The sequence below is a fragment of the Homo sapiens genome, chromosome 2, assembly GCF_000001405.40.
Source record: "Homo sapiens chromosome 2, GRCh38.p14 Primary Assembly".
NCBI lineage: Eukaryota > Metazoa > Chordata > Mammalia > Primates > Hominidae > Homo > Homo sapiens.
Genome location: NC_000002.12, coordinates 66,078,890 through 66,106,117, shown reverse-complemented (window position 1 = coordinate 66,106,117; position 27,228 = coordinate 66,078,890). Strand labels below are relative to the sequence as shown.

The following is a 27,228-nucleotide window of genomic DNA, read 5'->3' as shown; positions in this document are numbered from 1 at the left end:
TTAAATTGTACTTGAACATTTCTTTGACTTTAAGTAAACTTTCATTTTATAATTGCACATTGTTCTTACTTCTGATGCTTTAATGGGTGAAAACTGTCCATAGGAGAAGAGTCAGTAAGTTGTCCCATCACCAAGCAAAACTAACATCTGTATCAGCTGTGAGAAGATATTCGATTTGCCTTCAAATGACATTTTCAGAATGGCTTACATCATATATCAAAACTCTCTTCTAAAATCTAAACTAGGACATTGTAAGAAACCTTATATGTGATGTGCATCTAATTTGTAGTTCTGCAAATTGAAGCTATTTTCTAATGTTGTTTATTCTTTTACTAAAGTACTGTCTCATTCAAGTGGCAATAGGTGCTTAACGCTTTATAAAAGTTCTTGGATGCATTCCTTGTAAATGCTAATTATGAAGAAGAAAATGTTATAGTGTTTCTTAGGAAATCAATACTTTATTATGCAATAATTGCATCTGCAAGTTTAATGTTCTCCATGAGCCCCAGCAGAATGAGAGAGGTCACTGGGTGAGATGGTGCAAATGGTCCTCGCCTGACCTGGAAAATCTCCTAGAATTTGAGGGCTAGTAAAGTGCCGAGATGTCATTAAAATATTTTCACAAGTACAACATTTATTATGGAAACCAAATTGCAAGAACATCTGTCTGGATGACACTTGGCCTAAAGTTGGGTCTAAACCTGGTAACAGTTATAATTGAAACTGTGGCTTCATTTTTCTCCCAAGATCTTTGAATTTTCCTTTGCCTCACAGAGCAATTTATTTCTCAAAGCTACAGCAGTTAACTTTTGTTTTCCTAAACCTTCCTTGGCAAAAATCCCAGCTCTTCCAGCTTTCTACCAAGAAATTATGGAAGAAAAGGAGCCTTTAAGGAGATAGAAGGAAGCTCAAAATCACTCTTCCAAGAATTTCTGGGTCACTGTCTAATTGATACGCCTATTGGCAGGACTCGGATTTAAGCCCCTCCTGACTTCACAGGCAGTTCTCTTTCTGCACCCAGCCATGTGTGAAGACTCAAGGCATTGAATGTGGAACCCACCCGCACCTCCCCCCGCAAAAAAAAACCCAGCCCGCTCTACTTAAAGCACTCAGGCTGGAGAACTGTACCATAGCAAAATACCCCAAACAGTTGTTTTTCCATTATGATCCTGAGCCTGGCATTTATTATCATTTTATATTGCACACTTTTAAAGGCAATGGTCCATTTTACTTAGATGATTAATTTGCAAAAATCATGAGATATGAGCAGAGATGGTGTTTTTTATGGGCCATGCTACACCTCTACAGGACCCCAAAGGAAATGAGGTGTGGGTCTCAGCATATTACAGAAAGAGGCCCTGGGACTGCAAACTCCATAGTCTTCCACAAATGGAAAAGCCATAGTACTCTCAAAGAAAGATACAGTTGAATGAATAGAGAGATGCATAAATAATGGACAGTCTGAATAAATGAATGGATAAATAAGCAATAGGGTGAAAGTCTGACCAGCAGTGGCATGTAGCAGAAAGACCCTTGGATGTGGATTCTGGAGATCTTGGGTCCACTATGCCTTGTCACTTAACAGCTGAACTACTCCTGTCATTGAATGTCTCTGAATGTACTTCACCTCTGCTTCTATAAAATAGTAATAATAATAATAATACTTTTTTCATAAGATTGTCAGGCAGTAGAGCTCGGGGAGTTACAGAGCTGAATTGCCTAGGTTTACATTTGAGCTTCCCTCTCTTGCTTGCTTTGTGATCTCAGGCATCTTATCCTCTCCACATTTGTGTTTCCTCATCATTAAAATGGAGGATTAGATAAGTTAATATGTGTAAAGTGCTTAGAAAACTACCTGTTACATAGTAGGTTAAAACATCACAATAGTGTCACTACTATTTTGTATATGTAAAAATGTTACATAGATACATTGTAATGTTATGATTAGCTATGATTATAAGTAGAAGTACTAAGGTTATATAAATTATTGCTCTTAGTTCAATAAGGAAGTCAAGTCTGGACAATTTAAGCAGAAAGGAATATTAAAGGATATTAGGAAGAACATAGACTCTCTAGGATAATCAAAGACCCAGGTTTGTTCATCAGACAGGCAGAACCAAAGCATCCAGGAATCCAGGGCTGTTATAGTGAAATACCACTGCCCATCTCTGGGCACTGATCACCTTTGAGATTGGACTCCAAGCGCTTTGCCACTGCTGTCTCACAAAAAAATCTTCTTATCCAGAAGATCCCATTTTTCTTTGCACAGCTACTTGCTTTTATTTCTCCAAGTCACAAATGGGATGGCTCTAATTGGTGGAACCAAGGCTTTCTGTCTAGATCCTAGCTGTAAGGGAGTCTGGGAAATGTAGTTTTTAGCTTTCCAACGTGTATAGTAGGAAGAAACAGCTAAATAAATTGGAGTGGGTATTGATTGAGCCAACCAACGCTGTCAGCTATAAGGATTATTAAATAAAATATAGGTCTGGCAGCCCCTGTTTGATCTACTAAGGTAGAGATGAAAAACCTTTGGTTTGTTTTTCAGAGTTTAATTCGAAGTTTCTAAAGATAACTAATAATTACCCTTGTAATGCTACTGTGTTTCAACGAAAGATAGGCAAGATGAACCTATCTAATAGCTGGTTCTCTGATTTTGACTTGAAAAGAAGACATGGCTCCTCTTCCACCATTGTACATTGCCCTGTGTAGAACAATGGGGACAATTCTTCCTGCATCTTCTCCATCCATAGAGTAGATGCAGACAAATGTGATCTGGCAGGACCTGGGCTGAGGTTTGCTCCTGGAAGAATGACCCTGGAAACTTCAAATGTACGTCCAAAGTACAATGATCTATGAAGTACTGGCTATTTGAAGTCATGATGATTTGGCAAGACTGGGGACCATCAGTAACCATTAATGCAATTAATCATATTTTAAATAAACAAAATGGCAAGTATTGTATTGTATTTTAAATAAACCAAATGGTAATTATCTATCAGGCATGTTTTTAAAATTGTCTGAATACAGATGAATGTAGAGTCAAGAAATCTGGCTTCTAGTTCTTTTCTAGAACTAGAAGAACTAGAACTAGAACCACTGCTGCATAGGTGAATTCTATAGGTTGTTTCAGATCTCTAGATCTGTTTCCTTATTTAAACTCTGACCTTCTTTGAAGTTTTAAAGTTCTACTTTTCTATACTTTAAATATTTAAATATTTATCAATATAAATAATTATTATTTCTGTTTGACAATCATATGTCCTGTCCCAGGGAACACAGAAAACAAAGTGCAACACAGTCATTCCCTTTATATTTTATGAAAAAATGTACTATTGCTTGATACTTTATTATGCTGCAAAAAAAAACATACCAATTATTATCAATGCAAAACGTAGGTAAGCTTGATCATATTCACTGTCAGTGAATTTATTTTCAGTTAGTAAATTAATTTCAGTCAGTGAATTTTATGTCGGCGCTCCAGAAATAATTTTGCTTGCTTTCTTGCAATCAAGCCAGTGAACGACTGGCTACTTAAATGTGAAAATTGCATCCTCTTTGTTTCCTATTTAATATTGAACAAGCTTAAAGGATATACCTAACTATATTTTAAGAAACCTATCAAAGCAAGCAAACCTTTCAAAAGTTCTTATTCTAGAGATAGTCACAGGAGATGAAGCTTAACTTTATTCAAGTGGCTTAATCTTCAGAGCATATTTAGTTGTGACAATAAAGAGTAAACCTAAGCCAACTTCCTCACTGTCTCTAATTCTACAAAAGTATCCATGCCAAAGCAATATTAACAAAAAATAGTTTACATTAATTTGTTGGAAAGAATAAAAAATTATCAATTATCAATTATCATTGATAATTATATATTTTTTCTGCTTTTAAAACCCAAGAAGATTATTTACTGAAAAAAATGATTACTTCTAACCAAGTTTAGCTGGAGTAACTACTATAAAATAGTAATCAAAATCAACAGATTTATAAGATAAATAGATGTCCTAAATGTCAGCAATAATCAACTAGAAAAAAAAGAAAAAAATGAGCTCATCCAAATTAATGTAAAAGTATAGAATACCTAAAATAAGCTTAATAAGAAATATGTATACCACACATAAAGAAAACTGCAGAGCTTGACCAAAGGATATAGAAGATGGGAACTGGTGGGGCAAACTATGTTCTTGGGTAGAAAGTTTTAATATTGCAAAAATTAATTAATCAGCTTACTGGAATTCAAACTAAAAATTTCAACAGTACTTTTTTGAGGGGAGATGAGTAGGGGTAAAAAGCCAATATGCATCTAAAGAAAAAACATACAACAGATGAAATATTTCTCTCTTTAGTCTAGTATAGGATTGGAGCATAGACAGGACGAGTCCTGTCTCTAACACTTAAATTTTGGGGATATAATGCAATAACTTTTTCTCTGTATGATTTGTTTGTCCCACTTGTAAAAAGCAATGATCATTTATAGTCATTATCGTTATCATCATCATCATCATTTTATTCCTTGGTATCCAATAAGACAACGTATATTAAAGTGTTTTGTAAAACTCTAAACAGAGACACAAATGTTAGCTATTGTTCTTTACCATTTTATCCAAAATTAGACAAGCAAAATAAAGAATAAGACTCTAAGGTCATAGACTACATGGATGTGTACAGATGTTTAAAAGAGAATTGGCCAGCATATAAGAAGGCAAATAAAGAAAGCTGGACTCACCCAAGGAACAGATGGGCCCTTAAGAAGAGAGGAAGAGGCCTATTAAGGTGCATTAATCACACAAGCTGTATACATACAGCTGTCAGCAAGGAAGAAAGGACAATAAAAACAATGCATAAAACACATAAAATAATACTCTACTGAGTACTTACTATGTGCTAAACACAGTAGAATAATTGTTTCACCTAATCCTCACAACTGCTATGACAAGACTATCATTATTTCCATTTTAGGATTTAAAGGTGAAAAGGGAGGAGTCGGAACACAAATCAGGCTGGTCCTACTCCAAAACTCACAGTAAACTGCTTAGCAACCACAGTAAACTGCCTCTCTTTTTTTTTTGAGACAGGGTCTTGCTGTATCATTCAGGCTGGAATGCAGTAGTACGATCATGGCCCACTGCAACCTTGACCTCCTGAGCTCAAGGGAACCTCCTACCTCGGCCTCCCCAGTAGCTGGGAGGTACACACCACCATGCTTATCTAATTTTTTATTTTTTGTAGAGATAGCATCTGGTTATTTTGCCCAGGCTGTTCTCAAACTCCTGTCCTCAAATGATCCTCCTACCTTGGCCTCCTAAAGTACTGGGATTACAAGTGTGAGCCACCAGAGTGGACCAAAAAATTATTTCTAAATAGATCTTTTATCTTTGCAAAGTACATTTACATCTGTTTCCTCATTTGCACTAGTCAACAGTCTTGTATAGACAGATTAATTCTTAGGTTAATTTTCCATTTCTAGATGAGAAACTGAGTCATGAGGAGATTAATTCAGAAGTCTCTGTATCCAGTTACACACTGGAATCTCCAGTAGAGTTTGTAAAGCTACAGATTCCTACACCCTCCTCTAAAATCTGTTGAATCAAAATATATCTAGGAATGGGGCCCTGGAGTCTTCATTATTCAAAAGCTCTCCCAGCTGATTCTCAAGTGACTACACTGGGAGCTCCCGGATTGGTGGCTCTCAAAGCATGGGCATCATCACTTATTAGAAAGGCAAATTCTCAGGCCCAGCCCCAAACCTACTGAATCAGAATCTCTGAGAGGAAGCCATGATTTAACAAGCTCCCCAGGGACCCTCATGAGGCTCACTGTGGTTGGAGAACCACTGCTCTAGATTAAAAGAGGTGACATAGCACAGTGATTAAGATGGCAGACTCTCAAGGCTACCAACTCAAGTTCAACTCTTACGTCTTCCACTTCCTAGCTGTGTGGTCTTGGACAATTGCTTAATGTTCCTGGCCTTGGTTTACAATACTGGTAAAGTGGAGATGATAGTAGTTTTCCCTTCATAGGGTTATTATAAGGAATAAATGATTTAAATTAGTAAGGAACTAATTACAGTACCTTATATAAAGCAAAAGCCTAAATAAAAATTAAGGTTCTTGCCTAGGATTAAAGCTGTGAGTGAAATGAGAAAGGGTGAAGAAAAGACCCAGGAACCAAAATCCTTGGGTTGAAGCAACCAGAGACCGAAATTCTTGGAGATAATCAACATGAAGGTTTCAATGTTGCAACGAGGCAAATAACCATGCTCGCCTCTTTTTAATGATCATAGGAGAGAATGCAAAGCACAATTTGAACAACCAACGAACCCATCAAGCATCTGAAACATGCCCTTGATTTTGGGAGCCAAAAGAGCCCTGGACTGTTTTAGCTGTGTGGACTCAGGGCAGCCACTTAACCCCTCTGGGCCTCAGTTTCTTCATTGAGATGATTCAGATAATAAAAATGAACTGACTTCCATAAGATTATTGTGATATTCAAGTGGAGCGATTGGCTATCCTAATACTTCTAAAAAGTCAAAAGATATAGGCAGCCATTTAGAATTATTACCTTACTATCCTTTCCTAGTCCAGGCTTCTTTTGACATTGCATTAACTTTCCAATCTGGAGCACTAAGATAGTCCAGCATGAGAGGATAAAGAACAGTGATGCTGCCTTCCAGAATTTTACACTGATGTCTGTTGCCTTCAAATCCCAGAGCTGCTGAAGCCAGCCATCAGCATGCTGTGGGCTAGGCCAGGATGTCTACCTGGTAGAGCTGTTTGTCCCAGAATGTGGGTAAGTATATGGCACACTTAAGATACATTTTTAGAATCTTTAGAAGCCAGATAAGTTGTATTCACAGCCCCAAAGGGAAGCCTCACCTATAAATCTCTATTCCAGGACCTTTAAAAATATTGACCCAAGTTCTGAGAGTGTGTAATAGCTTAGACCTTCTTTCAACCCAGGGCTGGCTGTATGGCTTTTCTGGGATAAAGAAGGCAGGGCAAAGGAAGATTAGTCGCTGCCACAAATTCTTGCTCTCAGGGAAGATGCTGGGGAGCACTCTCACTGTCGATGGCCCCTGAATCTGTGGAGATTCCTCCTGCACCGTTGGCCTCTCTCCTGTTAGAGGAAGCTGCAGATACTCCCTCCACATGCCTCCTCCACGTCTTCAACCCAGCCCTTCTAGCTAGTGCTGGGCACCCAGCATTTCTGCTTCACCTGCACTCGACCGTAGATGGATCTTTCTGCTCAGATGGCTCCATGTACCTGACAGCTTGGTAACAGTCATGTATCACCAGAGATACAGCTGGCTTTGTCATGCGCTGAATCCAGAAGCTCAGAGGAGAGAAGCGCCTGCTGGCATTTCACTCCATCACTACTTGAGGGCCTTGCCTGCTTGGCCTAAAGGCCTGTGCCAGGAATATCTCCCCTTCACTCATCTCCAGGGCCACATCCATGGTGGGTCTCCAGCCCTTGGCCGTGCAAAGACCGTTGCATGGCCTTCCAGGGAGAGCTGTTTCCACAACAGGTTGGCAAACACCACTGTGTATCATAACTCAGCTTATATCAGGTTTTGATGGCTTCTTCCAGGGTTTTCTTCCATCCCCAGGGACCAAGCTCAAGCCCCCGTTTCTAGAGAAAATCAGTGCCTTCTATCTGCTTCTCCAGTCTGGATGAAGTTTTAAAGTTGTTGCCATATAGATTTTCCAAGAATCTAGTCTGATTGGGTTGGTTCACCAAATAGAAATTCTTTTCAATGCCTGAAACACTCATCAAATATCTGTGATCACAAAAACCCACAAGGGTTGATAGCGATGGTAGGCTCTGTCCAGCACCCATCCATCCCACCAGGCCCCCTACTAAAGCCGCTTAATCCACACATGCAGGCTCAGCTTCATGGAACCCAAAGGAACAATTCTGATTTTGGAAAAGTAGACTTTAAGCAATTTTAACTTCAGATTTTGATTACTTGCAATCACTTGCTGCTTCTGTGGCTCCCAACTTTTGTTCCTGTTTTGCCAAGGGAGGACATTTTTCTTGTTTCTGAGACCCAGCCCCTTCTTTTGCCATAAACCAGGTAACAGCCTCTGTCTTGATCCTTACACCCAAGCCTCAGCCTAAAACCTGAGTTGTTCCCAGGCCCTCTAGGGCTGCCCTCCTGCCCTCCTCTGTGGGCTTCTCTTCTTCCTCTCAGGAAAGTTCCTGCTCCTGACCTGGTCTACAGCTAAGGCTTGAGTTGCTAACAGACTTCCCTGGATTGTGGGGCCTCCTCCACCTGACATCTTGCCATAACTGTTACCTTGTTCTTCTGTTACCTTGTTACCTTGTTCTCTGTTACCTTGTTCTTCTGATGCCATATTTTACCCACCAACCTGTACTTCCTAGCACCTGGTCCCTTCTGGTAGGAAGGCCAAAGTTCAGTCCTGGCATTTTCCAGGCTGGCTATCAGGTTGCTGTAAGTTGGGTCACACCCCACCATATCATGCACATGACAGCAGATTATAGGTGATATGGTTTGGCTGTGCCTTCACCCAAATCTTATCTTGAATTGTAGTTCCCATAAACTCGATGTGTCATGAGAGGGACCTTGTGGGGGGGTAATTGAATCATGGGAGAGTTACCCTTATGCTGTTCTCCTGACAGTGAGTGAGTTCTCCTGAGATGATGGTTATAACGGGCTTTTCCCCTTTGCTCAGCACTTCTCTCTCCTGCCACCATGTAAAGAAGAACGTGTTTCCTTCCCCTTCTACCATGATTTTAAATTTCCTGAAGCCTCCCCAATCATGCAGAGCTATGAGTCAATTCAACCTCTTTTTTTTTTTTTTTAATAAATAACAAGTCTTGGGTATTTCTTCATAGCAGCATGAGAACAGACTAATTACAATAAGCTTGAGTTGATATCTCCTGAGTAATCATACACAGAGCTGCATTTGAAAACATTTGTTGTGGCACAAAGTAGGCACTGAAGAGGTATTGGTGGAATAAATTAATGAATGGAGCTTGTCTGCCCATCTGAAGCTCCTAATCACATAAGGAAGAAAGTGCAGATACTACTTTGTGTCCCCAAAATCTTTTTTAACTTGCATTACACAGAATAAGATGGCCTGGAATGCATACAGGGATTGCACTGCTCAGGCCCTGTGATGGACAATTGTATGTCAACTCATCAGGATTAAAGTATGCCCAAACAGCTGGTAAAACATTATTTCTGGGTGTGTCTGTAGGGTCTTCCCAGAAGAGATTAGCATTTGAATTGGGTAGACTGAGTAAAGAAGGTCTGCCCTCACCAAGGTGGGCCTGAAGTGAACAAAAAGATAGAAGAAGGGTGAACGTGCTCTCTTTCTCTCTCTTCTTGAGCTGGGACATACATCTGTTTCTGACCTCAGACATCAGAGCTCCTGGTTCTCAGGCCTTTGGTTTTGGAGTGGGAATTACACCATCAGCCACCCTGGTTCTTGGGCATTCAGGCTCAGACTGAATTATGCCACTGGCTTTCCTGGGTCTCCAGTCTTCAGACAGCAGACTGTGCAACTTTGCAGCCTCTATAATTGCCTGAGCCAATTCCTATAACTAATATCATTTTATATGTCTCTCTGTCTATCCTATTGGTTCTCTCTCTCTCTGGAGAACCCTGACTAACACAGGGTCCCCAGTCAGCCTCTGGATTGCAGGCATCCTTGAAGACAGCCCACCCAGCAGGCAAAGCCAAATTCCTTCTGGCAATAAACTCAAGGATCTCAAGGTGAGGGCAAAAATGACTACACAGGAAGATGGGAGGAATAAAGACAAAAATCAACCCAAAGACCTGGTGTGTAGGCTTGGAAGGAGGGAAAGCGAGAGACCGTTTTTCTTAAGAAAACAAAAACAGAACTAGAAAAAAATAACCCAGCCAGTCCCTACCCCACTGGTGTCAGAAAGCTCCTCTTCCAGCTGTTCTCACTCTTTCTGCTGTTTCTACACCACTGAGCTGCAGAATGATGAGAATACAGCTGAGGCAAGAGAGAGCAAGCAGAGAGATTTCGGGTATGTAGCGAGGAGCTTCCCAGACCAGGGGAAGGAAGCTCCAGAGGAATCTAATGCTGCCGGATGACTTCAGGTTAACCCTGGTGGTGAGCAGGTTTATGACAGAAGAGGATGCCAAGGGTTTCTCTGCTTTTAATCCCAGCCTGAGGAAAGGGTGCACAGCAGACGAAAGGGAAGCTGGGTTCTTTCTACTCTCTGGCCACAAAAAAAAAAAAAAAAAAAAAAAAAATTAGGCATTCTAAGTAAGCCATTGGTTAAGAAGCAGGGAACAGCCAAAGTGTAATAAAATGGGGCTCCTGTCCCCTTATTGTCTATGCCCAGGTCCTGAGATGTTCCCCCACAGCATAGAGTTTCCAGATAGAAAGCTGAAACTGGATCCCTTCCTTTCACTTTATACAAAAATTAATTCAAGATGGATTAAAGACTTAAATGTTATACCTAAAACCATAAAAACCCTAGAAGAAAACCTAGGCATTACCATTCAGGACATAGGCATGGGCAAGGACTTCATGTCTAAAACACCAAAAGCAATGGCAACACAAACCAAAATAGACAAATGGGGTCTAATTAAAGAGCTTCTGCATGGCAAAAGAAACTACCATCAGAGTGAACAGGCAACCTACAGAACGGGAGAAAATTTTTGCAATCTACCCATCTGACAAAGGGCTAATATCCAGAATCTACAAAGAACTCATACAAATTTACAAGAAAAAAACAACCCCATCAAAAAGTGGACAAAGGAAATGAACAGACGCTTCTCAAAAGAAGACATCTATGCATCCAACAGACACATGAAAAAATGCTCATCATCACTGATCATCAGAAAAATGCAAATCAAAACCACAATGAGATACCATCTCACGCCAGTTAGAATGGCAATCATTAAAAAGTCAGGAAACAATAGATGCTGGAGAGGATGTGGAGAAATAGGAACGCTTTTACACTGTTGGTGGGAGTGTAAATTGGTTCAACCATTGTGGAAGACAGTGTGGCAATTCCTCAAGGATCTAGAACTAGAATTACTATTTGACCCAGCGATCCCATTACTGCATATATACCCAAAGGATTATAAATCATGCTACTGTAAAGACACATGCACATGTATGTTTATTGTGGCACTATTCACAATAGCAAAGACTTGGAACCAACCCAAATGTCCATCAACGATAGACTGGATTAAGAAAATGTGGCACATATACACCATGGAATACTATGCAGCCATAAAAAAGGATGAGTTCATGTCCTTTTCAGGGACATGGATGAACCTGGAAACCATCATTCTCAGCAAACTATCACAAGGACAGAAAACCAAACACTGCATATTCTCACTCATAGGTGGGAATTGAACAATGAGAACACTTGGACACAGGGCAAGTAACATCACACACCAGGGCCTGTCCTGGGGTGGGGAGCTGGGGGAGGGATAGCACTGGGAGAAATACCTAATGTAATTGATGAGTTGATGGGTGCAGCACACCAACATGGCACATGTATACCTATGTATCAAACCTGCACATTTTGCTCATGTACCCTAGAACTTAAAGTATATATATATATATATATATATATATATATATATATATAAAAGAAATGCAAAGTGGGAGCAAAAAGGAGGATATCTAGTCTAATTAGGAGTCTAGCTGAGCTTTTCTTATAAGAAGCAACCTGATAAGATCCGGTGATACAAAACAAGGGACTGGCATATGCAGAGGTTTGAGGAATAAAACCATTTTGAAAAAAAAGAATACAGGACACTCAGTTAAATTTGAATGTCAGATCAACAAGGCATAATTTTAAAGTATAAGTATGTCCCATGCAATATTTGGGACTTATTGATCCTTTAAAAAATTATGTTGTTGATCTGAAATTCAAATTTCACTGGGCTTCCTATATTTTTATGTGCTAAACCTGGCATACTTACCCACAAGCCGACTGTTCATCCAGCCCCAAAGGCATTTGAGGATGTGACCAACACAGGAAAGAGGACGCTGGCCTGTGAAGGGGAGTGAAATCAGAAAAGTTTCTGCTTCTGAGGTCACATTTGCTGAATTCACTCCTCTCTCCATTCCTTTAGTCCACCCCTCACCATTCCTCACTCCCTCATTTATATTCCCCCATCCTTGACCGCTCCTCCCATAAGAAGCTGTACTACCTGAGCTCCTTTGGGGTTAGATGCTGAATTGTAAGTTTCTCCAGTGATGTCATATGTGCATATTTTGATCTTCTCTGTTTCCAAAGACAAGGACTCTTCCTTCTGCCTCTTGTTCTTTCTACATCCCCCAAGCTTTCCTTCCACACACTCACTCCACAGCACAAAGGTTAGGTACATTGTGAGAGTTGAACTATAAACTCAGGAGTGTACAAAAATAAAGGAGCCTTGGAAATCACCAAGGCTCATCTCCCTCCCTGCATTTGCTAATAGGGAGATGATTGACACCCCAAAAGCTGAAGGGACTTACCCAGGAGCAAAGCTTGCACATGGAGAAGACAGCACACAGTTCTGATTTCCTGGCTTCACTCCAGGAGTCTTTCTGTTATTATTAGTGCCTTGCACAATACCCAGCAAATACAGTTGTTCTCAGTAAATATTTAACTGAACTAATAAATGAATAAATAAATAAACAAATGAAATCAGTGCCTTATGACTTGACTTGCTAATTGTATGATGGTTTCTCCTTCTGGATAAACTTCTTGGCCCCTGCAATGGTAAATGTAAGCGAGGAAATCCAGCCATCTTTCCAGAAGAGATGTTCCTCTATCAGACAGAATGTGTGGCAGGAATGCCATTTTCCTTCCACAGGGCAAAACTAGGTAAGTCTACGCTGAGTTGGGAAGCAATAAAAAGCAACCTCACTGGGCAAAAAGCTACCTGAAATTGCTGCATGTACAACTACAAAAACTCAAAGAAAAAAATAGTTTAAAACATTTTAGTTGGCTATGTGACCTTTAAAGATGTCACATAACTGGTCCAACCTTTGGATTTCTCATTTGCAAAAAACATTAAAAAAATAGTGACCAGGAAAATAAATATGATTTCACTGTTCCAGTTACCTTCTCCTAGCAGATACTCAGTAAGTGTCCATTTGCTTTTTTCTTTTCTCAAGGAGTATCCCACCTTCTTAGTCGACAGTGCTTTAAAGAGGCATTCTTTCTGGGTTTTAGTAGGACATTGGTTCTCAAAGCATGGCCCCTGTCAGCAGCAGCAGCAAGATCACCTGGGAACTTGCTAGAAATGCAAATTCCTGGGCCCTACCTCTGACCTACTGAATGAGAAACTCTGGAGATTGGACTCAGTAATCTGGGTTTTTAACAAGCCAGTCAAGTGGTTCTCATGCATGTTCAGGTTTGTGAACCACTGTGCTGGGCTGATGTTTCCAAAAGTCTAGTTCAGATACCACATGCATCAACACTATTCCTGGTTGTTACTAAAATTGCAGACTTCTAGGCCCTACCCCAGACTTGCTCAGTCAAAACCTATTCTGAATCTCCTTTATAAAGTGCAACCCAGGCAATTGTGATGCACTTTTAGGTTGAGAACTACTTGACAAATTGGTGTCAAAATAGCAGGTGATGGCATTTGAGCATTTGTGGAGGTCAGGTCAGAATTCCTGTTTCCTTTTCTTTGTGACCCTGGAGAGATAGCAGGGGGGATAGCTGCATAAGCCATGGCAGTTGGCTCTAGAGGAGTGGCCTTTAATGGCTTTGTGGTTGCCCTCTAACCTTGGGAGAAGCATGTTTGTTGGTGATCAGCGGGAACAAGCCACACCACCCAATCTGCTCTCTCAACCCAACATGGCTCAGACCGTCATTTCCTAATGGCAAAACCCACCTTGGTCTGATAGATTAGTGATGTTTTGTTTTGTTTTGTTTTGTTTTGTTTAAATACACAAACACGAAGTCAAAACAGTCCTAAAAAACATTTCTCTTGCTTATCGAATCCTCATCTTATCTGGTGAGAGATGGTTAAAGGACGTCATGAAATATGTCTCCAGTGTTAATTCAGCAGAGCTGATTTCTTTCATGGAAACTTGAATGTTGGGTGACAAAAAACTGGGCAAAATTTTTTTATCAGATTCTCTCTACTTTGGGACCTAATTGTCTTTTTACCCTTCACTTAAAAAATTATTTTTATTGTTTTATTTCAATAGGTTTTTGGGGAACAGGTGGTGTTTGGTTACATAAACAAGTTATTTAGTGGTGCTTTCTGAGATTTTGAAACACCCATCACCGGAGAAGTGTACACTGTATCCAGTGTATACTCTTTTATCCCTCACCCTCCTCCCACCCTTTTCCCCAAGGCCCCAAAGTCCACTGTATCATTCTTAGGCCTTTGTGCCCTCCTAGCTTAGCCCCCACTTATGAGTGAGGACACAACGATGTTTGATTTTCCATTCCTGAGTCACTTCACTTAGAATAATGGTCTTCAACTCTATCCAGGTTGCTGCAAATGCCATTATTTTGTTCCTTTTTATGACTGAGTAGTATTCCATGGTGTGTGTGTGTGTGTGTGTGTGTGTGTGTGTGTGTGTATATATCACAATTTCTTTATCCACTCTTTGATTGATGGGCAGATGGGCATTTGGGCTGGTTCCACATTTTTGCAATTGCGAATTGTGCTGCTATAAACATGCATGTGCAAGTATCTTTTTCATATAATGACGTCTTTTCCTCTGAGTAGATACCCAGGAGTGGAATTGGTGAATCAAATGGTAGATCTACTTTTAGTTCTTTAATCTCCACGCTGATTTTCATAGTGGTTGTACTAGTTTATATTCCCACCAACAATACAGAAGTATTTCCTTTTCACCACACCCACACCAGCACCTATCATTATTATTCTTTTCATGGCCATTCTTGCAGGAGTGAGGTGACATCACATTGTGGTTTTGATTTGCATTTCCCTGATGATTAGTGATGTTGAGCATTTTTCCATATGTTTGTTGGCCATTTATATATCTTCTTTTGAAAATTGTCTTTTTCTTTTTTTTTTAATTATACTTGAAGTTTTAGGGTACACGTGCACAATGTGCAGGTTTGTTACATATGTATACATGTGCCATGCTGGTGTGCTGCACCCATTAATTCATCATTTACACTAGGTATATCTCCTAACACTATCCCTCCCACTCCCCCCACCCCACAACAGGCCCGGGTGTGTGATGTTCCCCTTCCTGTGTCCAAGTGTTCTCATTGTTCAATTCCCACCTATGAGTGAGAACATGCGGTGTTTGGTTTTTTGTCCTTGCGATAGTTTGCTGAGAATGGTGGTTTCCAGCTTCATCCATGTCCCTACAAAGGACATGAACTCATCATTTTTTATGGCTGCATAGTATTCCATGGTGTATATGTGCCACATTTTCTTAATCCAGTCTATCATTGATAGACATCTGGGTTGGTTCCAAGTCTTTGCTATTGTGAATAGTGCCACAATAAACATACATGTGCATGTGTCTTTATAGCAGCATGATTTATAATCCTTTGGGTATATACCCAGTAATGGGATGGCTGGGTCAATGTACTTGGCTCACTTTTTGATGGCATGCTTTGTTTTGTTCTTGCTGATTTGCTTGAGTTCCTTGTAGATTCTGGATATTAGTTCTTTGTTGGATGTACAGATGGTGAAGATTTTCTCCCACTCTGTGGGTTGTCTGTTTACTCTGCTGATTGTTTCTTTTGCTGTGCAGAAGCTTTTGAATTTAATTAAGTTCCACCTATTTATCTTTGTTTTTGTTTCATTTGCTTTTGGGTTCTCTAAGCCCGTGTCTAGAAGGGTTTTTCCAATGTTATCTTCTAGAACGTATATGGTTTCAGGTCTTAGATTTAAGTCTTCAATCCATCTTGAGTTGATTTTGGTATAGGATGAGAGATGAGGACCCAGTTTCATTCTTTTACCTGTGGCTTGCCAATTATCCCAGCACCATGTGTCGACTACGGTGTCCTTTCCCCCATGTTTTTCTTTGCTTTGTCAAAGATCAGTTGACTGTAAGTATTTGGCTTTTTTCTTTTCTGGGTTCTCTATTCTGTTCCATTGGTCTGTATGCCATTTTTATACCACTACCAAGCTGTTTTGGTGGCTATGGCCTTGTAGTATAGTTTGAAGTCGGGTAATGTAATGCCTCTAGAGTTGTTCTTTTTGATGAGTGTTGCTTTGGCGATGTGGGCTCTTTTTTGGTTCCATATGAGTTTTAGGATTGTTTTTCTAGTTCTGTGAAGAATTATGGTGGTATTTTGGTGGGAATTGCATTGAATTTGTAGATTGCCTTTGACAGGAGGGTCATTTTCATAATATTGATTCTACCCATCCATCAGCATAAAATGTGTTTCCATTTGTTTGTGTTGTCTATGATTTCGTTCAGCAGTGTTTTGAAGTTTTCCTTGTAGAGGTCTTTCACCTCCTTGGTTAAGTATATTCCTAAGTATTTTATTATTATTTTTTGCATGTATTCTAAAAGAGATGGAGTTCTTGATTTGATTCTCAGCCTGGTTGCTGGTGGTATATAGCAAAGCTACTGATTTGTGTACATTAATTATGTATTCTGAAACTTTGCTGGATTCATTTACCAGTTCTAGTAGCTTTCTGGAGGAGTCTTCAGGGTTTTCTAAATATACAATCATGTCATCAGCAAACAGTGACAGTTTGACTTCCTCATCACCAATTTGGATGCCCCTTATTTCTTTCCCTTGTCTGAATGCTCTGGCTAGGACTTCGAGAGTACTATGTTGAATAGAGGTGGTGAAAGTGGGTATCCTTGTCTTGTTCCAGTTCTCAGGGGGAATGCTTTCAACTTTTCCCTGCTCAGTATAGTGTTGGCAGTGGGTTTGTCATAGGTGGCTTTTATTACCTTAAGGTATGTTCCTTCTATGCCAATTTTGATGAGGTTTTAATCATAAAGCAATGCTGGATTTTGTCAAATGCTGGTTCTGCAACTACTGAGATGATCATGTGATTTTTGTTTTTAATTGTTTATATGGTGTGTCATTTATTGACTTGTGGATATTAAACCATCCCTGCATCCCTGGTATGAAACCCACTTGATCATGGTGTATTATCTTTTTGATATGCTGTTGGATTCTGTTAGCTACTTGAAGATTTTGCATCTATGTGCATTAGGGATATTGGCCTGTAGCTTTCCTTTTTTGTCGTGTCCTTTCCTGGTTTTGGTATTTGGGTGATATTGGCTTCATAGAGAGATTTAGTGAGGATTTCCTCTTCCTCTATCTTTTGGAATACTGTCAGTAGGATTGGTACCAATTCTTCTTTGAATGTCTTATAGAATTCAGCTGTGAATTGACTGGTCCTGGACTTTTTTTTGTTGGTAACTTTTAAATTACCATTTCAATCTCACTGCTTGTTATTGGTCTCTTTAGAGTTTCTAATTCTTCCTGGTTTAATCTAGGAGGGTTGTGTATTTCCAGGAATTTATCCGTCTCCTCTAGGTTTTCTAATTTATGTACATAATGGTGTTCATAGTAGCCTTGAATGATCTTTTGTATTTTTGTGGTATCAATTGTAATATCTACTGTTTCACTTCTAATTGAGCTTATTTGGATCTTTTCTTGGTTAATCTCACTAATGGTCTATCAATTTTATTTATCTTTTCAAACAACCAGCTTTTTGTTTCATTTATCTTTTGTATTTTTTGTTTGTTTGTTTCAATTTCATTTAGTTCCGCTCTGATCTTGTTTTTTTTTTTTTTTTTTTTTCTGCTGCTGTATTTGGATTTGGTTTGTTCTTGTTTCTCTAGTTCCTTGAGGTGTGACCTTAGATTGTCTATTTGTACTCTTTCAGACTTCTTGATGTAGGCATCTAATGCTATGAACTTTCCTCTTAGCACTGCTTTTGCTGTATCCCAGAGGTTTTGATAGGTTTTGTCACTATTATCATTCAGTTAAAAGAATTTTTAAATTTCCATATTGATTACCAATGATCATTCAGGAGCAGATTATTTAATTTCCATGTATTTGCATGGTTTTGAGGGTTCCTTTTGGAGTTAATTTCCAATTTATTCCACTGTGGTCTAAGAGAGTAGTTGATATAATTTCAATTTTCTTAAATTTTTTGGGACTTGTTTTGTGGCCTATCATATGGTCTATCTTGGAGAATATTTTATGTGCTGATAAATAGAATGTACATTCTCCAATTGTTGGGTAGAATGTTCTGTAAATATCTGTTAAGTCCATTTGTTCTAGGGTATAGTTTTAGTCCATTGTTTCCTTGTTGACTTTCTGTCTTGACCTGTCTAGTGCTGTCAGTGGAGTATTGGGGTCCCCCACTATTATTTTGTTGCTGTCTACCTCATTTATTTGGTCTAATAATAATTGTTTTATAAATTTGGGAGCTCCACTGTTAAGTGCATATATACTTAGGATGGTGATATTTTCCTGTTGGACTAGTCCTTTTATCGTTATACAATGTCCCTCTGTCTTTTTAAAATGCTGTTGCTTTAAAGTTTGTTGTGTCTGATATAAGAATAGCTACTCCTGCTTAGTTTGGGTGTCCATTTGCATGGAGCATCTTTTTCCACCCATTTACCTTAAATTTATATGAGTCCTTATGTGTCAGGTGAGTCTCTTAAAGACAGCAGTCACTTGGTTGGTGAGTTCTTATCCATTCTATATCTTTTAAGTGGAGCATTTAGGCCATTTACATTCAACATTAGTATTGAGATGTGAGGTACTATTCTATTCATTGTGCTATCTGTTGCCTGAATACCTTTTTTTTCATTGTATTATTGTTTTATAGGGCCTGCAAAATTTATGCTCTAAGGAGATTCTATCTTGGTGTATTATGAGGATTTGTTTTAGGATTTAGAGCTCCTTTAAGCAGTTCTTGTAGTGATGGCTTGGTAGTGGCAGATTTTCTCAGCTTTTGTCTGAAAAAGACTGTATATGTTCTTCATTTCTGAAGCTTAGTTTTGCTGGATACAAAATTCTTAGCTGATAATTGTTTTGTTTAAGGAGGCTAAATATAATACCTCAATCCCTTCTATCTTGTAGGGTTTCTGCTGAGAAATCTGCTGTTAATCTGATAGGTTTTCCTTTATAGGTTACCTGATGCTTTTGCCTCATAGCTCTTAAGATTCTTTCCTTCATCTTGATTTTAGATAACCTGATGACTATGTACATAAGTGATGATCTTTTTGTGACGAATTTCCTAGTTGTTCTTTGAACTTCTTGTATTTGAATGTCTAGATCTCTAGCAAGGCCAGGGAAGTTTTCCTCAATTATTCCCTCAAATATATTTTCCAAACTTTTACATTTCTATTCTTCCTCAGGAACATTAATTACTCTTAGGTTTTATCATTTTACATAATCCTAAACTTCTTGGAGGCTTTGTTCATTTAAAAACATTTTTGGGGGGTCTTTGTTGGATTGAGTTAATTCAAAAGCCTTGTCTTCAAACTCTGAAGTTCTTTCTTCTACTTGTTCAATTCTATTGCTGAGACTTTCCAGTTCATTTTGCATTTCTCTAAGTGTGTCCTTGGTTTCCAGAAGTTGTGACTGTTTTTTATTTATGCTATCTATTTCCCTAGACATTTTGCCATTCATATCCTGTATCATTTTTTTTTCTCTTTATGTTGGACTTCCCCTTTCTCTGGTGCCTCCTTGATTGGCTTAATAATCAACCTTCTGAATTTTTTTCTGGCAATTCAGAGATTTCATCTTGGTTTGGATCCATTGTTGGTGAGCTAGTGCGATCTTTTGGAGTTAAAGAACCTCATTTTGTCATATTACCAGAATTGTTTTTCTGGTTCCTTCTCATTTGGGTAGACTATGTCAGAGGAAAGACCTGGGACTCAAGGGCTGCTGTTTGGATTCTTTTGTCCCGGGGGTGCTCCCTTGATGTGGTGCTCTCTCTTTCCCCCTAGGGATGGGGCTTCCTGAGAGCAAAACTGCTGTGATTGTCATTTCTCTTCTCGGTCTAGCCACCCGGCGGAGCTACCAGGCTCTGGGCTAGTACTGGGATGTGTCTGCAAAGAGTTCTGTGCTGTGGTCTGTCTTTAGGTCTCTCAGCTGTGGATACCAGCACCCACTCTGGTGGAAGTAGCTAGGGAGTGAAGTGGACTCTGTGAGGGTCCTTTGTTGTATTTTTGTTAAGTGTGCTGGTTTTGTGTTGGTTGGCCTCCAGCCAGGAGGTGGCACTTTTAAGAGCGCTTTAGTGGTGGTCATATAGGGAGGATACAAGCTTGTCCTAGGGTCGCCTTTGGATAAGTATTCAAGTTTCTCAGGCAGTGGGCAGAGCCATAGAGCTCCCGAGAGATTATGACCTTTGTTTTGACTACCAGGGTGGGTAGGGAAAGACCACCAGGTGCAGGCAGGGATAGGCATGTCTGAGCTCAGACTTTCCTCAGGCAGGGCTTGCTGTGGCTGCTGTGGGGGATGGGGGTGGTTCCTAGGCCAATGGAGTTATGCTCCCAAGGGATTATGGCTGCCTCTACTGCTCACACAGGTCACCAGGGAAGTGGGAGAAAGCGGGCAGCCACAGGACTTACCCAGCTCCCTCAAAGCCCGCAGCCCAAAAGAGGCTGGTCTCAGTCCCCATGCCTCCCCCGCCCGCCCCCCACCCCACTCTGCCAGAGCCCGCAGCCCAAAAGGCTGGTCTCAGTCCCCCAGACCCCAAGTTTATCTCCAAGCAGCTGGTGAGCAGGGCTGAGAACTTGCCCCAGGCTACAAGCCTCCCAGCTGGCTACAAGCCTCCCAACTGAGAAAGCAAACAGACTCACAGTTCCTCAGCTGTCCCACAGAGCCTGCAGTGACAAACCACTTCCTCCAAAGGTTCTGTGGATTCTCTTGGCTTTCTTGGTATGTTCCTGTGGTAGTTCTTGGAGAAAAAGTTCCAGTTGTGGGTCTCCACACTCTGCTCTGTCCCTTCGAGTGGAAGCTGCAGGTTAGTTCTGCCTCGTATCCGCCATTTTTTTCACTTCCTTTTTTCCCCCTTTAAATTGTTCATCTTTCTTGAGGGTAATGAGTAAGGTCGTGGCAACTTAGATAAGGTTCCTAAACCCAACGACATAAATGCAAATTTCTAATTTATGACATAAATGCAAATCTAGCTTGAGCAAAAGTCTATTCCAGGCCAAATGTGAAGCAACTAAAAGCTTTTTAAGCCATTCTATAAAGGAACTTTACAATAAAAATATTTTTCCCAGGGTACCTTGAAGAACTAATACGGATACTTGAAGTAGATTTCTTATTCATTTCTCTTAAATGTATTTGAAATTTATAAGAACAACCATGTGTCCATTCCAATTAACTACAGATGTGACTAAAGTAAAGTTTATTAATGACCAAGAGACCCCTAACCATCCAACATGTGGTGATAATAATCAAAAAGGCAAGTTTTCTTAAGTCAAAACACCCAAACAAATAAAACAAACAAAAAGGAAAAAGACAAAAACTTACTTTAGAGGTTCAACTTATACAGACGATATCACAGAAAGAGTTATGAAACACTGACTCCTGCAAGAACAAAAGGGGTTCTTTATTGCTTTTTACATAATTTCCTTTTGTAGATGGCATTCTGAGTAGTAACAAGCAACCAGGCTTCAATGCCGTCTTCCTGTTGGAGCCTACATTCAGCTCTCACCCTGTAAAATAAAATGATAAAAATGAGGGGTTTAGGCATGCCATAATGTACTCACACAGACTCAGAAGTCAATACCTACTTGACATTATCCTGCTGGAAAGCACAGCATCTGCGACTTACTTGAATTTGGTTTTTAGAAGTCTGTGGAGGGGTTGCGTTTGTAGATGAAAATGCAGGGTGAAAACTGTATCACCCTTGGAAGCCTTGAAGCTCTTACAGTTCTCTGAAGTAAGTCTATCATGATTAGTAACTACTTTGGGAATACGGAATGTCAGCTGCACTGATATCAGTAACAGCAACAGCAGTAATAATAGTCACCTTGCTTAAGCATTCATTGACCAGCCTTGATGCTAAATGCAGAAGATTGGTCATATCATTTTACCTTCAGGACAATTCTTAATGTAAGTATTACCACTTTATAGGAAGTGTAAAAGTCTCCAGAAAAATGGATAACCTGCTCAGGTTCACATAGGCTTGGAGTCCCAGTACTCTATTGACTGTTCTTTGATTAATTACACCTCCTCCATGTTTTTGGACTATCTGATGCTGTAACCTGATAAAGGATTTAGTAATGCAGTTTTCAAGTCAATACTCTGCTGAATCCAAAGTTAGGACTCATTCATTTATTTATCCACTGGACCCATTCATGTTGCCTTGACACCTTGGCTCACAGTGAGCTTGAAGTCACTCACAGGTTTCCATCACAATTTGATGTCCAAATCTGTACAAGTGTTGCTGCCAATTGCTGGTTTGGGGCTTTTCAATTGCATGAGGCATAATTGAGTAACTACATCAAAGATTTCTGATTTAAATATAAAACTTCAGGATATAAATATTACTAAGCAGCCACTAGGTGCCCAATTTCTTATTGAGGAGGCCAAAGAATAAAAACTCTTCTCATTCAGAGAAGAAAAAGTGTAAATGCTCATGAAAATCAAAATAATCTTTAAGCTCTATTTCCTCAGTTATTCTTTCCTGCATTTAACCCAAGTAACTGTGACAAGTTCCAAAAGCTTTTCCCCCTCTTTACCAACCTCCTACATGGTAAAGTTATTTAACACAGTCTTATTTTAGTGGAAGTAACAGGGTTATGTCTTGCAAGAACATAGAATGCATTTCATATTTTTTGAGTGGAAAACTAACTGCTAAACCCAAACTGGTCTAGACTTTTATAACAGGGCCCCAAAATAATGTGGGAAAAGGTGCATTTGTTCCTGGTTTTCTTGCATCTCACATGCTATCAATGGGTTTTTATTTGGTTTACTATGGAGGGTCCCCATGTGCTATCAGTAGGTTTTTTTCTGGCTTACTATGGAGGGTCCCTACAACTTAGGTCCTGCCAACTCTATTGAAGAGGGAAAGAAGATGGATAACTAAAAAAGTTAGAAGAGCACAGGGAAATGATAAGAACAGTAATAATCTAACTCCAGAGACAGGCTTTCCTTCCTTTCTAGAAAATTAAAAAACTAGAATAGAGAAATAATTTGTCTTGATGGACACTAAAGCCAGAGGAAAAAGAAAAGGACGCCTTTCTTCCTTCATGGTCAATGTCTCTAGGCAAAACATAGCACAGCAACAGAAGACAGAGTAAGAGTTGGCTTTTTTTCCCCACCTAATTGGTTCATAGCAGCATCTTTGCTCTTTTTCTCCCCTACCCCCTCTCCCCAACTGCGGTGATCTCTCAGATGGCTGGTGCTGAATGTTGCCTGGGTGACACAGCTGCTCAACAGAAACAGAAGAAAGAGCCTCCTCCCCTGAAGCTTGTGGCCTCCTGGTCCCCACAGCCATGCCCCCACCTGCTGCTACCAACCCTCTTCACTCCCTCTACATCCCTAGTGAGTCACAAAGGGCTTGACTAGGGAGAATTTTTACAGATCTTGTCTTTTCAATTTGGAAAAAGCTCCCAAGGTGATTATAGTGTGCAGCTGTCCTCCCATTCCCACGCAAAAGCCATTGACTTAGTTTCTCCCTGCTGCCCCAATCCCCATCTCCAGAAAGGATACAATTTGCCCAAGATCACACAACCAAGTATGGGGTAGGAGGAACCCAGGACCCCTGAATCTCAGCTCTGTGCTTTTTCTGCCAAAGCATTTCTCCCATTGTAAGACAGGGGCTTTTAGTAATGCCAAATAGACAAATATTGCATGTTCTCACTCATACGTGAAAGCTAAAAAGTGGATCTCATGGAGGTAGAGAGCAAAAGGGTGGATACCAGAGGCTAGGAAGGGAAGGGTGGAGGAGGGATGAAGAGAAGTAAGTTAAGGGGTACAAAAATACATTTAGAGAAATGGAATGAGTTCTAGTATTTGATAGTACAGTAGGTAAATTAGAGCTAACAATAATTTATTTATATTTCAAAATAGCTAGAAGAAAAGATTTGTAATTCTCTCAAAGCAAAGATAAATGTTTGAAATGATGGGTATACCAGTTACTGATTTGGTCATTAAACCTTGTATACAGCTATCAAAATATCGCATGTATCCCACTAAATATGTACAACTATTATATTAGAGCCAGGCGCAGTGGCTCATGCCTGTAATCCCGGCACTTGGGGAGGCCAAGGTGGGCAGATCACTTGAGGTCAGAAGTTCAAGACCATCCTGGCCAACATGGAGAAACCCTGTCTCTACCAAAAACATATAAATACCAAACCCTGTCTCTACCAAAAATAAAAAATTAGCCAGGTGTGGTGGTGCGCACCTGTAATCCCAGTTACTTGGGAGGCTGAGGCAGGAAAATTGCTTGAACCCGGGAGGCGGAGGTTGCAGTGAGCCAAGATTGCACCACTGCACTCCAGCCTGGGTGACAGAGCAAGACTCTGTCTCAAAAAGGAAAAAAAAAAAGAGAATAAAGAGCTGTCTGCAGGGTTCTAAGAGAGGAAAACAAAGAAACAAAAAAGATTAAATATTGATTTAGCTTTCCCCTACCTCTGGGGCAATTGCAACTGCTTATGAAGACCTTGGACTAAAGACCATTGCAGCTGCTTATAAAAACTTGCAGAACTTGAGGACTGAAACTATGGGAAGAATGTGGTCTAAGCATCCTCCTCTGGATGAAAAAATGCACAGAACAGAGGTCTCCCCTAGGTCCAGCCTTGAAACGTCTCACCTGGGCGACCAAAAAGTAGGGCCTCAGGATCCTGAACTTCACCCAGTCCTCCAAAAGCGTTGACCCACTTCCTGCGCCCTCCCTACTGCAGTTGTGTGTGGAAGCCTTTGCAACTGGAAAGAAATGCATTAAAATATCAGAGAGTAGAGCTAGTGATAATTTTAATGTTGTAGAATACTTCTCATATTTTCCAAATTTTTTCCATAAACTTATATTGGTTTTATAATTAGAAAAATACATAAGTACTCTTCCCAAAATGAAGGCAACGGCTCTTAGCATAGTTCTTTACAAATGGAAGTGTTCTCCAGCCCTCAGCATTTCCATGAGCTCTTCCTGCATTGGGCAATGGTTGAGTGATGGAGTGATGCCTTATCAAATCTAAAGTGAAGGAGCTGAGCTGGGCTTGGTGGTTCATGCCTGTAGTCCCAGCTACTTGGGAGGCCAAGGCGGGATGATCATTTGAGCCCAGGAGTTTGAAACTGCCCTGAGCAACATGGCAGGATTCCATCTCTGAAAAACAAGGTGGGTCTAAACAGACATACAAAGTCTTCTCTGTTGGTAGCCTGGTTTCTTTCTGCAAGACATTTTTAGGATATCTATATATCTATCTATCCATCCATCCATCCATCCATCCACCCACCCATCTACTCACTTACCTATTTATCTATCTAACTACAGAATTGTCATTTTCTCTACATCTAAGTCTATTGACCCACTCTAAATTGTCAGGTTGACTTCTCAGAAAGATCAATTAATTTCTGGTGTTTCTTGAGGGGGAAGTGGGGTAGGGTGGGTGTGTACATTTATTTTAAGAAGGCAAACCTGTGAGTATTCAAATTGCTTAGAATGTGAAACAGATGCCACATCTAAGGGCCAGTACAGCTAAGTGTAGCTGACTTAACTACTGGTCCTTCCTTGCAACCTGGCCCTTGAAACAATTTTAATCCTCCCCGTCTCAAGACCAAAAGCTGAAACAAAGGACATAAACACGCAAGGCAGTGAAACCTTATCAGCTACTTTCAATCTGAGTTAATTGTTTCTTGAGGTTCTGCAAGTGATTTATGCCATCTATAAGCATGCTCAACTGCCACTGGGCCCCCCAGGGGCAGAGATGGATCTGATTTCACGGAGAGGGTGGCTTTTGTTGTAAGCCTGTTCCCTCCTGGAGCTCCACGTGATGCTCCTTTCCAGGGATTCCCGACCCAGCCTGCTGCATGATCACAGTGTGTAGCAGGGGAGGGCTGAGCAGTCCAGGCAGATGCCCATGAAAACTGTGAGGACCCCACACTCCCCATCCAGATCTGCACAAGAACCTCCTAAGGGACCAGTGTCCTTTGTGTGTGAGGAGAACTTCTGCCCCTGAAATGGGAGGAAGTAATATGGATTAAGTGTCGTGTCATTTTCACCACAGTCTCTGTGTGCATTTAAGTAAAGAGACTATATTTTTGTATACCTTCCCCAGTTCAGAAGAAGGGATAATGATTTGGTAGCTTTTAGTTCAATATTGCTTTGCAGGGGGTGTAGAAAAGGGGAGGTGGGTCTGAGATTTATGAACATAAATTAGTCATCACATGAATAAGAATAGAAAACAGTCATAAAGGCAGGAGGCTTGGGATATGAATTCTTTTGTTTTGTCCCTATGGACACAGCCTACATGTAACAGAATATGTTCCCTCTTGGAGTCTACCCTAATTTAAATATCTATATTATCTATTGATGAAGTCCCAGTTTTCCATAACTGATACACGCAGTATGCTAGGAATTATTGTGGGTGCATAGGGACATTGCTTATTCCTTAGACATAGGTATTAGTCCCACTTGATAGATGAGAAAACAGAGGCTCCCGCAAGCCAAAAAAATCCTTCACACAGCTAACTAGCTACAGAGCACCTGCTCTTTTAATTGACCCAGCTTGCCTAATTCTAACAGTCGTGCTGGAAAACTAACCGCTCTTTTCCATCAGCTCTCTTGAAGGCATCATGTCTGTGCCCTAATGATCATGAGTCCCAGTCCCCTGTGTAGGGCACCCAGCATTTACCTCCAATAAAACTGTTTTCTCACTTGACTGTGATTCCTGCTTTTTATAAGACAGGCATTTAGAGTTTCCAGAGCCCCCTACTCCAGTCATTCTCATCTGATCAAGCACATTGGAGTGGTGAGTTGGAGCCTAACAAGGAACCAACAGAGAATGTGCAGAAGTGAATTGCCTCTAATTTTAATGCATGGTTAATGCAAGTGGAGCATGTGCTCAAACAGGGCTCTATTGCTTTTCTGGAAAATACCCTTCTGCACCAATTGTTTTTAAGTGTTATTTCTGCTTAATTATGTGCTGTCGTCTCTCTCTCCCCCCGACCCCCGCTCCATGTTTTTCTCTCTCCCTTTCTCTTTTTTTTCTCCTTCTCTCACTCCGTTTCCTTCTCTCTCTTCACAGACAGCCTCGTAGATAACCATGCATCTCTTTCTCCCTGTATATTAATTTTTCAGCATGTCTACTATTGAAAAGGATTAGGAAA

General features: G+C 40.3%; 1 long non-coding RNA gene across 2 annotated transcripts in view; it reads right to left on the bottom strand.

The window, feature by feature from the left end:
- Positions 1 to 17,632: 17,632 nt before the first annotated feature.
- LINC02934 (long intergenic non-protein coding RNA 2934) overlaps positions 17,633 to 27,228 on the bottom strand; it is a 298,411-nt gene continuing 288,815 nt past the window's right edge. For both annotated transcript variants that reach the window (NR_187140.1, NR_187141.1), the window contains exons 5-6: positions 21,424 to 21,608; positions 17,633 to 21,018 (exon numbers count right to left, since the gene is read on the bottom strand). This is a non-coding gene — a long non-coding RNA (long intergenic non-protein coding RNA 2934). The remainder of the gene's footprint in view (positions 21,019 to 21,423; positions 21,609 to 27,228) is intronic.